Genomic DNA, 13,064 nt, shown 5'->3' on the forward strand with positions numbered 1-13,064 from the left:
AATTAGACTCACCAACTCCCCAACTAGAGACCAAAATATGCTACTCCCAGGGAGAGGTGCTTGTCCTTTTTTGTTTCTGATGCATGCATGAATTTATTATCCACACAGGCTCAAGGTTAGCAGAAATGCAGCTATATATTCAATATAAAGCATTTACTGAGCAACCTATTATGGAACAGGTGCTGAAGTTTCTAGGTAGCAAATACTACAAATTGTAACTTCTGGCTTGTTGCATTTTTATTTGTACAGCAAAGTTTGTTCTAAATGTCTTATCTTTTTGTACAGTTTGTATTTGAGAATAGTCTCCAGTTAAAAAATGAGTCCTAGCCAGAGCAATCAGAAAAGAGAAAGAAATAAAGGGCATCCGAATTAAAAAAGAGCATGTCAAACTGTTAATGTGCACCAATGATATGATCATATACCTAGAAAACCCTGAAGACTCATCCAAAAAGGTCCTAGATCTGATACATTGCTGATAGAAATCACAGATGACACAAACAAATGGAAACACATCCCATGCTCATGGATGGGTAGAATCAATATTGTGTAAATGACCACAATGCAAAAGCAATCTACAGATTCAACATATTCAGTGCAATTCCCATCAAAATACTATCATCATTCTTCACAGAACTAGAAAAAACAATACTAAAATTCATATGGACCAAAAAAGAAAGCCCGCATAGACAAAGCAATACTAAGCAAAAAGAAAAATCTGGAGGCATCACATTACCTGACTTCAAACTATAACTTCAAGGATATAGTTACCAAAACAGCATAGTACTGGTATAAAAATAGGCACGTAGACCAATGGAACAGAACGGAGAACCCAGAAATAAAGCCAAATACTTATAGCCGACTGATGTTCGACAAAGCAAACAAAAACATAAAGTGGGAAAAGGACACCCTGTTCAACAAATAGTGCTGGAATAATTGGCAAGCCACATGTAGAAGAATGAAACTGGGGCCGGCCATGGTGGCTCACGCCTGTAATCCCAGCACTTTGGGAGGCCGACGTGGGTGGACCACCTAAGGTCTGGAGTTTGAGATCAGCCTGGCCAACATGGTGAAACCCTGTCTCTACTAAAAATACAAAAATGGGAAGCCGAGGTGGGTGGATCACCTGAGGTCAGGAGTTTGAGATCAGCCTGGCCAACACAGTGAAACCCTGTCTCTACTAAAAATACAAAAAATTAGCTGGGTATGGTGGCAGGTGCCTGTAATCTCAGCTACTCGGGAGGCTGAGGCAGGAGAATCGCTTGAACCCGGGAGGCGGAGGTTGCAGTAATCCGAGATCGTGCCATTGCACTCCAGCCTGGACAACAACAGCAAAACTCTGTCTCCAAAAAAAGAAAAAAAAAAAAAAAAAGAAGAAGAAAGAAACTGGATCCTCATCTCTCATCTTATACAAAAATCAACTCAAGATGGATCAGAGACTTAAATCTAAAACCTGAAACCATAAAAAATCTAGAAGATAACGGGCAGGCGCAGTGGCTCACGCCTGTAATCCCAGTACTTTGGGAGGCTGAGGCAGGTGGATCACAAGGTCAGGAGTTCGAGACCAGCCTGGCCAATATGGTGAAACCCCGTCTCTACTAAAAATACAAAAATTAGCCAGGTGTAGTGGCTCGCGCTGGTAGTCCCAGCTACTCAGGAGGCTGAGGCAGAAGAATTGCTTGAACCCGGGAGGCAGAGGTTGCAGTGAGCTGAGATCATGCCACTGCACTCCAGCCTGGGCGTCAGACAGAGTGAGACTCCATCTCAAAAAAAAAAAAAAAAAAATCTAGATGATAACATTGGAAAAAGTCTTCTAGACATTGTTAGGCAAAGAATTCATGACTTAGAACCCCAAAAGCAAATGCAACAAAAACAACAATAAATAAATGGGACCTAATGATACTAAAAAGCTTCTGCACAGCAAAAGAAATAATCAGCAGACAACCCACAGAGTGGGAGAAAATATTTGCAAACTATGCATCCAACAGAGGACTAATACCCAGAATCTACAAGGAACTCAAACAAATCAGCAAGAAAAAAACAAATAATCCCATCAAAAAGTGGGCAAAGAGCTGGGTGCGGTGGCTCACGCCTATAATCCCAGCACTCTGGGAGGCTGAGATGGGTGGATCACTTGAGATCAGGAGTTCGAGACTAGCCTAGCCAACATGGTGAAATCCCACCTCTACTAAAATACAAAAATTAGTCGGGCGTGGTGGTGAGTGCCTATAGTCCCAGCTACTCAGGAGGTTGAGGCAGGAGAATTGCTTGAACCCAGGAGGCAAAGGTTGTAGTGAGCCAAGATCGCACCACTGCACTCTAGCCTGGGCAACAGAGCAAGACTCCCGCTCAAAAAAAAAAACAAAAGGTAAAAAAAAAAAGTAGGCAAAGGACATGAATAGACAATTCACAAAAGAAGATACAGAAACAGCCAGCAAACATATGAAAAAATATTCAACAGCACTAATTATCAGGGAAATGCAAATTAAAACCACAATGAAATACCACCTTATTCCTGTTAGAATGGCCATAATTTAAAAAATCAAAAAATAATAGATGTTGGTGTGGATGTGGTGAAAAGGGAACACTTCTTTTTTTTTTTTGAGATGGAGTCTCGCTGTCGCCCAGGCTGGAGTGCAGTGGCGCGACCTCCGCTCACTGCAAACTCCGCCTCCCAGGTTCACAGCATTCTCCTGCCTCAGCCTCCCAAGTAGCTGGGACCACAGGCGCCCACCACCAAGCCCGGCTAATTTTTTATGTTTTAGTAGAGATAGGGTTTCACTGTGTTAGCCAGGATGGTCTTGATCTCCTGACCTTGTGATCCGCCCGCCTCGGCCTCCCAAAGTGCTAGGATTACAGGAGTGAGCCACCGCGCCCAGCCAGAAAAGGGAACACTTCTACACTGCTGGTGGGAATGTAAACTTGTACAACCACTATAGAAAACAGTGTGGAGACTCCTTAAATAACTAAAAGTAGATCCACCATTTGATTCAGCAATCCCACTCCTGGGTATCTACCCAAAGGAAAAGAAGTCATTATATTAAAAAAAAGACACATGCACACGCATGTTTATAGCAGTACAATTTGCAATTGCAAAAATATGGAACCAGCCTAAATACCCATCAACCAATGAGTGGATAAAGAAAATGTGGTACATATTTACCATGGAATACTACTCAGCCATAAAACAATGAAATAATGGCACTTCCAGCAACTTGGATGGAGATGAGACCATTATTCTAAGTGAAGTGACTTGGAAATGGAAAACCAAATATCATATGTTCTCACTTATAAGTGGGAGCTAAGCTATGAGGATGCAAAGGCATAAGAATGATATAAGGGACTTTGGGGACTCGGGGAAGGGTGGAAGGTGGGTGAGGGATAAAAGACTACATATAGGGTACAATGTACACTGGTCAGGTGACAGGTGCACCAAAACCTCAGAAATCACCACTTAAGAACTTACCCATGTAACCGAAGACCACCTGTTCCCCAAAAACTATTGAAATAAAATGAAACAACAACAACAATGAAAAACTGCTTTAAAAAATGACTGTTAAAGTGTGGCAAAAAGCCACAGGAACTAATGAAATCCCAAACTGGATAGCAATGCAGGTTTGGGAAGTTATCTTCTATAGCAATGATCCCCAAATAACAGCTCGGTATACTGGAACCATCTGAAGAGCATTTCCAAATACAGATTCCTAGGGCCAGTGCTTGGAGTCTGACTCACTAGGTGTGGGAAGAGGCCTAGAAATCTGTATTTTAAGAAAGCTCCCCAATACTTCTGTGACATAGGTTTTTCAACTACTGTTCTAACTTTTTTGACTATGACTCACATACTTCACGTGATGTGAAGGATTTCAATTTGCTCTGTGGGTAATGTCCCTGGTCACCTCTTTTTGATGTTTTCTGGTTTCAGAATCACGGATGGCACCACTGAAGATCTCTGTCCCCCACTGATAGGGGTAAGTGTTCTCTCCTCTCTAATGTCTATGGTTTTCGAAGCTGCAATTCGGGTTCTCAGGATTATGCGATGTTCAGGTGAAGCCTTCTTGTCATCCTCAGTATAAGAGAGTCCAGTCTCTCTGGTTTTCTCTGGGGCTTTCAGAGCTGGAGACAAGGTTTGAAGTTTATCAGGCTGAGATCTCTTAGAAGGTGAGGTGATCTCCGAGAAGGCCACTTTCCGTTTTATTCTTCCTGGAGAATCCAAGGAGGCACATGAAGTCTGCTGGGACATCTGAGGGTTACCTAAGTCTAAGAGAAATCATCACAATGTGTAAATTTTTTACCTAACAATATACAAACCCACAATCTCATCACAGCCAAATTCAGCCACTGAGTTATATGTAAAACAGGAATTATCTATATTTTTAATCATTCCAGGCTTGCTTTCTCCAGCCCAGGTAGCTCTAATAATTTTTCATCTCTCACCTAAATTTTAGGAGTGATTTTCCTAGTTAGAACCATAAGTCAACTTTTAAGTCAGCTTTTGCAGATAAATGGAGTGTTTTCTCATCTCTAACAGGTTTCCCTGAAATAACCTATCAGAACAGTGGGTCTCAATCAGGGGTGACATCGCATGCCTTCAACCCTAACTCAATGACATTTGAAGAGATTTATACTAGAGATGCTATCAAGTAACAATGAGGCCAAGATTTTTCTTAACCCAGATTATATCTGCCAATAGAGAGAAGTGGGGTTCCTGGGGACAATCCACTGGTTCTGTGAATACACAAAACTGTCTGGAATTGCTCCCTCATCACGAGGACCACAGCACCAAGGACCCCAGCTGCTCATTTGCAGATACCAACTGAGCAGTTAAAAAGGCAGGCGTGTGCCAGGGGCTGAGGTTAAACAAAAGCTGAATGAGGCTCAATCCTGGTTCCAACACAAAAAACACTCTAGTCTAACAGATGATACACATGACTGCCTATTATATTACATAAAGTGAAATAAGTGTCCAGAAGCACCTGAGTGCTCATAAAGATGGCTTTTGAGACATACCTTGAAAGAAAGGTAAAATTTCAACAGAGTTGAAAGAGGAAGAAGAGGGGACATATGAGGACCTAAAGAAAAAAAAAAGAAAAACTCCCTTGTTTCTTTCTTTCTTTTTTTCTGAGACAGAGTCTTGCTCTGTTGCTCAGACTGGAGTGCAATAGCGTGATCTCAGCTCACTGCCACCTGTGCCTCCCAGGTTCAAGAGATTCTCCTGCCTCAGCCTCCCGAGTAGCTGGGATTACAGGTATGTGCTGCCACACCTGGCTAATTTTTTGCATTTTTAGTAGAGACGGGGTTTCACCATGTTGACCAGGTTGGTCTCAAATGCCTGACCTCAGTTGATCCACCCGCCTCGGCCTCCAAAAGTGTTGGGACTACAGGTGTGAGCCACCATGCCCAGTCAGCCCCTTAATTTCTGAAGGTGATATTACAGATTAGTTAATATTTGTGCTGCATTTTCTAAATGTTTTATACATTTATATTCAGCTCCTAAAACACATACTGTACTATAGAGCTATCAAGAATACAAGTAACTTATACTTGAAGTTGACACCTACACAAAAAATTCAAAAAAGGATGAATGACTACAACAAGATGAGGATGAGCTCTCAGAAAGGCTGTGGGGTGAGTTTCAGATACATTGTAAGGGGAAAAAGCAAGTTGGAAAAGAATATATCCAGTATACTACCCTTTTGGTAAGAAAACGAAAAATAAAAATATATGTGTGTCTGCATATAGGTATACATATATGTATATGTATCTGCTGATTTTTCCAAAACGAAACATAGGAAAGATAAACCAGAAAGGGAAACAATTAATTAACATATAGAAGGTGGAGTAAGCAGGGTTGGAGGACAAGGAAAGGAGTAGTGCTTTTCTGGGTACATTTAAGTAGTTTTGACTCGAATTATATTAATGTTTCACATATTTAAAAAATTAAATAAAAAAAGGGAGAAGTCCTAAAATTAAACACAAACTTTGATAGTTGGGCATGGTGGCTCATGCCTGTAATCCCAGCACTTTGGGAGGCCAAGGCGGGTGGATCACTTGAGCCCAGGACTTTGAGACCAGCCTGGGCAACATGGCAAGACCCTCTTGCTACAAAAAATTAAAATAAAATTAGCCAGGCATAGTGGTACACACTTGTAGTCCCAGCTACTTGGGAGACTGAGGAAGGAGGATCATTTGAGCCCAAGAGGTCAAGCCTACAATAAGTCGTGATTGTGCCATTGCATTCCAACCTGGGTGACACAGCAAGACTCTGTCTCAAAAAACAAAAACAAAAAAACCCAGAAAATGGAGCCAAGTGCAGTGATGTACCCTTGTAGTCCCAGCTACTGGGGAGGCTGAGGCAGAAGGATTGCTTGAGCATGATCACTTGAGTTCCAGGCTATAGTGCACTGTGATCACTAACTCAATACTTTCCCATAAATTATCATTTTTATCACATAACCCTTTAGCCCCAGTATTGCCCACGGTGATCCATTCCACAACTTACTGCCAAGCTCCAGCCTCTTTCTGGCTCTTGGGGTAAGAGGATGGGTAGGAGTTTGGCGAGATTTGGAGGCGGAGTGCCTTGATTCAATCCTTTTGGCCACATGTTCTGCTGGGGTCCAAGAAGGGCTCTCTGCACTCTTACTCTTGGCTCTCACGGGTTTCTGGCACTTGGCTGCACTCTCTTGTGGTTTATTCAACTCCGCAAATAGTTCTGAGGAAAGTGGCCTGAATTTCTTCTCATTCCAGGATAGTTTCACAAAGAGTGTCTTCTCATTTTTCAGATTCGTCGGTACCACATCCTTTGGGGCTAAAGGTATCACCTGAATTTAGGAAGTATAGATAAGTAGGAAGAGATGAGCCCCAAGAGAGCCAAGGAGTATTCCATCAGAGCTACAATTAAAAACATTGAAGTCCACATCTGTACCTAAAATGTTACCTTTCCAATCTAAAGACGCATAGACATGGCATAGCATATTGCTAGAAAAACACATAATAATGAATATTTACTGAGTATTTACTCATTTTATCATTAATCACTTTAAAGACATCAGTGAAATAAATTATTCCTTTCATTTCATTTTAAAAATGTTTATTGTTCATCTCTCAATTCCTATTATTATCACCCTAGTTCAAATATGCATCCTCTCACTCCTGGGTTATTTTCACAGATTCCTCCTAGCTGATATTCTTATACCCTACCATTGCTTTCTTTTCCAGTCCATTCTGTTCGCCTATGCCAAGTTTCCCCACAAACTTATCTAAACATGCTCGCCTGCTCAACAGCCAATAATGGCTCCCACTGTAGCAAGACCAAATTACTTAAACTAATTTTTCAATGCCTTCTAAGATCTGGCCTCATTTTACCTACAGAGTGCGCAATACTCCTTGAAGAGGTCTTGTCACAGTCCTGCTATTCCCACCACTGTGCTCCTGCCCAGATGCTCCAAGCCCTGTGCCTCTCCGCGTATACTCATCCTGCTGCCTCAACTTTTGCATCTGCCTCACACTCCTTTAGCTTTCTCTCCTTCACTCATTTAACTCAAAGATAAATTAAGATAATCATGCCAGACGAGAGTCTCTACCCTAACGCTCAATGAACCACATAATCAGCATACAACCACACCTCACATCACAACCTAATCCCATGCTGGGGAGCCTGAAGTCACTTCAGGAAAAACTCATAACCAGTGACTTACTTCAGCCTGCAAACCAGCCGCTCATTAGCACCTGATTTATTAAGAAATCCTGTCATACAAATTTGTCTGTAGCAACTAGCACTCTTTGTACTGATTTACTCAAGGTGCAGTCCTCGTTTAAGCCAGCATATTCAGCCTCACAATGCTTTATGCATGCCACAGTCATAGCTAAATATAACATCCCCCTGAGATACATCTGCTAATTCCTGCTCATCCCTCAGGTCACAACCCAAATGTCACCTCTTGTAGGAGGCTCCTAACACATGATACGTGCTCTCAATAAATATCTGTTGAGATGAAACAGACAGGCAAGCACAGAAGATGACAGGAAATAATGCATTCCCTATGGGGTATTAGAGCCGGTAATATTTCTGGGGTCATGAAGTTCAGGAGGCAGACAGAAATAAGCTTCAAGGTAGAACCAAGGATGGTGGCATCACCTACCCGAACAAGGCCAATGATGGTCTCCGCATTAATGTTGCTGTCACAGGCCGGGTAATCATACCAGAATATTTCCTGTGCACCAGGCTTCCGGCCCAACAAATGCCGTTTACAGGCAGGGACTTCACAGAATCGGACAAACCACTGTACTCGAGCACGTTTCTTAGGAGGAGGATCAGAGTCTAGAAAGAATTTGGTGGAAAGGGAAAGGTTAAGACAACTCAAGGACACTTTACTGAGCAATTCCTATGTGCCAGACACTGTGCTTAACCCTTGACATGTGTGGTTTTGTTTTTTGTTTTTTGAGACAGAGTCTCTGTCACCCAGGCTGGAGTGCAGTGGCCCCATCTTGGCTCACTGCAACCTCTGCCTCCTGGGTTAAAGTGATTCTGCTGCCTCAGCCTCCTGAGTAGCTGAGATTACAGGCACCTGCCATCCTACCTGGCTAATTTTTGTATTTTCAGTAGAAACGAGGTCTCACCACGTTGGCCAGGCTGGTCTCAAACTCGTGACCTCACGTGATCTGCCTACCTTGGCCTCCCAAAGTGCTGGAATTACAGGCATGAGCCACCACCTCCCGCCAAAATTTTTTTTTTTTTTGTGACGGAGTCTTGCTCTGTCCCCCAGGCTGGAGTGCAGTGGCGTGATCTCGGCTCACTGCAACCTCTGCCTCCCTGGTTCAGGAGATTCTCCTGGCTCAACCTCCCGAGTAGCTGGGACCACAGGCCTGTGCCACCACGCCTGGCTAATTTTTATATTTTTAGTAGAGATAGGGTTTCACCATGTTGGCCAGGCTGGTCTCAAACTCTTGACCTCAAGTGATCCGCCCGCCTTGGCCTCTCAAAGTGCTGGGATTACAGGCATGAGCCACCATGCCTGGCCCAACATGTGTTATCTTTTATTTTATTTTATTTTTTTGAGACGGAGTCTCACTCTGTCACCTGGACTGGAGTGCAGTGGTTTGATCTTGGCTCACTGCAAGCTCCGCCTCCCAGGTTCACACCATTCTCCTGCCTCAGCCTCCCAATTAGCTGGGATTACAGGCGCCCGCCATCACGCCCAGCTAATTATTTTTTTGTATTTTTAGTAGAGACGGGGTTTCACCGTGTTAGCCAGGACGGTCTCAATCTCCTGACCTCGTGATCCGCCTGCCTCGGCCTACCAAAGTGCTGGGATTACAGGCATGAGCCACCACACCTGGCCGATCCTTAATCCTTCTAATAACCCTACAAGGTAGGTACTACAGCTATCCCCCTTTTCAGGCAAAGAAATCAAGTGACGGGGGACCTTAAAGAGTTTGTCAAAGGTCACATGACCAACTGCAGCAATCTAATTCCAGCCCACACACCCGCTCTTCTGGGATTGCTCCATTTCCTAATGGTGCTATCAGCCGGCAAAGGAATGACAAAAAGGCCTCTGAGAGGAGCTACTCTAAACACAGGCAACGAACAAATAAAAATCAGTGACTATAAAGACAGCATCAAACAGCAGCAAAACAAAAATCCTAGCAAGAATTATAGCATCAGGCTGGGTGCAGTGGCTCACGTCTGTAATCACAGTACTCTGGGAGGCCAAGGCAGGCGGATCACTTGAGGTCAGGAGTTGGAGACCAGCCTGCCCAACATGGTGAGACCTCATCTCTGCTAAAAATACAAAAAATTGTCCAGGTGCGGCGGCTCACGCCTGTAATCCCAGCACTTTGGGAGGCTGAGGCGGGCGGATCATGAGGTCAGGAGCTCAAGACCATCCTGGCTAACACGGTGAAACCCCGTCTCTACTAAAAATACAAAAAATTAGCTGGGCATGGTGGCGGGTGCCTGTAGTCTCAGCTACTCGGGAGGCTGAGGCAAGAGAATGGCTTGAACCCGGGAGGCAGAGCTTGCAGTGAGCCGAGATGGCGCCACTGCACTCCAGACTGGGCGACACAGCGAGACTCTGTCTCAAAAAAAAAAAAAAAAAAAAGAAAGAAAAAGAAAATTAGCTGGGCATGGTGGCAGGTGCCTGTCATCCCAGCTACTTGGGAGGCTGAGGCAGGAGAACTGCTTGAACCCAGGAGGTTGAGGCTGCATGAGCTGAGATTGTGCCACTGCACTCCAGTCTGGGTGACACAGCAAGATTCTGTCACTGTCACACACACACACACACACACACACACACAAGAATTACAGCATCAACCACTGAGATGACTTCTGGCAAATGCTTGCAATCTTCAGCTTTATTATTACAGCATACGATTAGTATCACTCCGTACCAGCAATAGCTCCAACCGAAAGAACACTCATTAGTGCCTCATCATCATCCTCTCTTCCCTGCTTAGCTTTCTTCAGAGAAAGACTAAAGTCATCCAATGGAGCACCAAGAGAGGATTCTAGAATCTATACACCGAAGCCCATGATTCTGATGTGCTGCCTCTACTGGACATTAGTTTGATGAGGTTTTTCTCCATACTTCTAAGTATGTCAAAGAGAAAGTATGTCCAAAATCCTCCTTATCTATGTGCAGTACTCTCCCCTTATCTGCTGAGGGTACGCGCCAAGACCAGTAGATGCTTGAACCTGCAGATGCTGCCACTAACCCTGTATATGCTATGATTTTTCCTACACACACATACTGTACAGCACGGATACACTGGACAAAGGGATGACTCACATTTCAGGTGGGACAGCGTGAGATTTCACCACATTACTCACAATGGCACACAATTTAAAGCTTATGACTTGTTTTTTTCTGTAATTTTCCATTTAATATTTTTGGACTATGGTTGTTGTCAGGTAACTGAAATCGCAGAAGGTGAAACCACGGATAAGGGGGACTATAGTAATATAAAACATCTTTATCCACTCAGTCTATCAGTTCCTTCTCTTGGGCATACAGACTACCACAGGATTACCTAATGACCATGCCCTTCTTCTGTCTCTTGAACGAGGCAGTTTTAGATAGTTTCAAATTGCTATCTTCCTAATCCTCCTTGTGGAGCTGTGCCCCACTCCCACATTTCTGTGCTCTCCTCTTGTTTTGCAGAGGGTTAGAAGGTCAGCAAATCAGCTAAGGCTTTCGATGTGGGCTTGTAGGCTCTGGTTGATGCCACCTTCCCTTTTGTTCCTCCAGCCTAGGGGCAGCCGTGGCTTCCTGCACTTACTCATCTCTGGTAAATGTCACCTTTTCTTCTAGCCTTTCCAACATTAACACACAAGTTCCTCTGGGTAAAATATCTTAAGTGTTTTTGTTTTCCCTGACTGAAACCCCAATTGCTACACCTTCCAAATCCAACTTACCTCTTCACTTGTAACGAAGTAGCACTTGCAAAATATATTACTAACCTTCATGCCAAAACTAAAGGACACATCTCTATGATAGTACAAATTACCTGTTTTTTCCTTCTCCCTTTCCCCCAAATTCATCCATTCTCTCCATCCCCCCCAATTCTGCCTTAATAGCCTTGCTTACTCCCCAAAATAATGAAAAAGTTAAATTATTGAGCCTTCCAGTTCCGTTTTACTCAATACTGCTTTGGTGAGTAAAGAAATTTTTTAGATGGAAGAAGACGCAGCTAGTTCTTACGTGATCCCACCTCAGTCTAATGTGCCCTGCACACTGCTGTGAACAAAAGAATCCACAATCTCCCCACCTCCCAATCATTCATGACAAGGAATGGTTTATTATTCCAGTCCCAAACTCACCATCTTCGAACAACTCAAGCAATTTAGCAACATACGGGTTTTCATCATCATCCCCTTCAATCAACACAAACTGTCCAATCTGGATGTGAATCTCGGTGGAACAACCTTCTGTTTTCACACACATTTCTCTAGGAAGTAACAGAGAAGCACATTAGGAAATAACTTAAAGTGGGTCAAGCTCTTCAGATCCCCTGGGCACAAAGGAGAGGGCTCTCCAATCCTGATTTCTTTCTGCTGACCAACTCTCCTACTGGGAAACCAATTCGCCCAGTTATATTTAAGAATAGGCAAAATGGGTTGAATGAATTGTTTTAGCTGAGTAATGAATCCAAAGGTCTTATTAGGAACCCTAATTCCTCTCAGTTATTGACAAAGAACAACAAATGCTTCCCACAACAAATGTTTCCCAAGGCTGTCAAGCTGCCCAGTAACAATGTCAAATTGTCAGAGATCTCCAGGGCTGGGAAAGACATAGTAAAAACATCTATCATCTCGTTTTCATCAAAAGTTATATAGAACTCACCTTAAATAGACATGACATTATCCTACATACAAAATTTTATGAGCCTGCCATAATTTTGCTCCATCACTAACTGCTATATTTATCCCACCATCTTCTTGCATCAAACAAAACCCTCCTTACAATCAGTTCTAATCTCCTGTTCATTCATGGTCAATCTGTAGTAATTAGAACAGGCTAGATACAAGTTGACTGTTTAGCTTGAGAAGCTGTATTTCCAGGACAACCAAAGGACCCCATCACTCACCTATAGGTTTGGTAGTGCAGTTTTCGATCCAACAAGGGCCTGCCAACCCATGAATAAGTTTTTCTGGTCTTCAGCCTTGTGGGGTAGTGTGCCATGGCTTCTGTGGAAGAGTCCAAACTCTGAGTTACCATGATAAATATTTGGTATTTATCTGATGGATTCTAAGACATAGTCAGTCCCTCCCTTCAAATGAGATCAGACTTATTTTCTGCCCCTGCTACACTCCCATACATTTTAGACTAAGAAAACATTTTATTTGAAGTCATGGTCTACGAAGATTACACACAGGCAATTTAGTATCATCTGTGTCCATCTTGTACTATGCCGTATCTCTTTCCATCCAGGAAAACAGAAAGGTCAATTCCTAAGAAATGAAACTGTAACATTTAGAAATACTAGGAATAAGGCAGAACAATAGGTGTAAAACATCTAACAAAGTGAAATTAAAAGACAGTGATACAGGGGTTGTAAATGTCTTCATGACG

The 13,064-nt window shown here is 43.1% G+C and overlaps 1 protein-coding gene across 7 annotated transcripts in view; it reads right to left on the reverse strand.

Moving 5' to 3' along the window:
* Positions 1-13,064, reverse strand: part of ORC1 (origin recognition complex subunit 1) — a 36,675-nt gene that overhangs the window by 16,721 nt on the left and 6,890 nt on the right. For 4 of the 7 annotated variants that reach the window (XM_047421674.1, NM_001190819.2, XM_017001388.3 and 1 more), the window contains 5 exons: positions 12,580-12,679; positions 11,813-11,940; positions 8,136-8,314; positions 6,497-6,815; positions 3,894-4,254 (listed from right to left, as the gene is read on the reverse strand). In XM_047421674.1, coding sequence (XP_047277630.1) covers positions 3,894-4,254; positions 6,497-6,815; positions 8,136-8,314; positions 11,813-11,940; positions 12,580-12,674 — 1,082 coding nt within the window. In that variant the 5' untranslated portion in view covers positions 12,675-12,679. Of the gene's footprint in view, positions 1-3,836; positions 4,255-6,496; positions 6,816-8,135; positions 8,315-11,812; positions 11,941-12,579; positions 12,680-13,064 lie in introns of those variants that run through there. The other 3 variants (XM_047421680.1, NM_001190818.2, XM_011541527.4) reach the window with 2 other exon arrangements.

Source organism: Homo sapiens, chromosome 1, assembly GCF_000001405.40.
Source record: "Homo sapiens chromosome 1, GRCh38.p14 Primary Assembly".
Taxonomy (NCBI): Eukaryota; Metazoa; Chordata; class Mammalia; order Primates; family Hominidae; genus Homo; species Homo sapiens.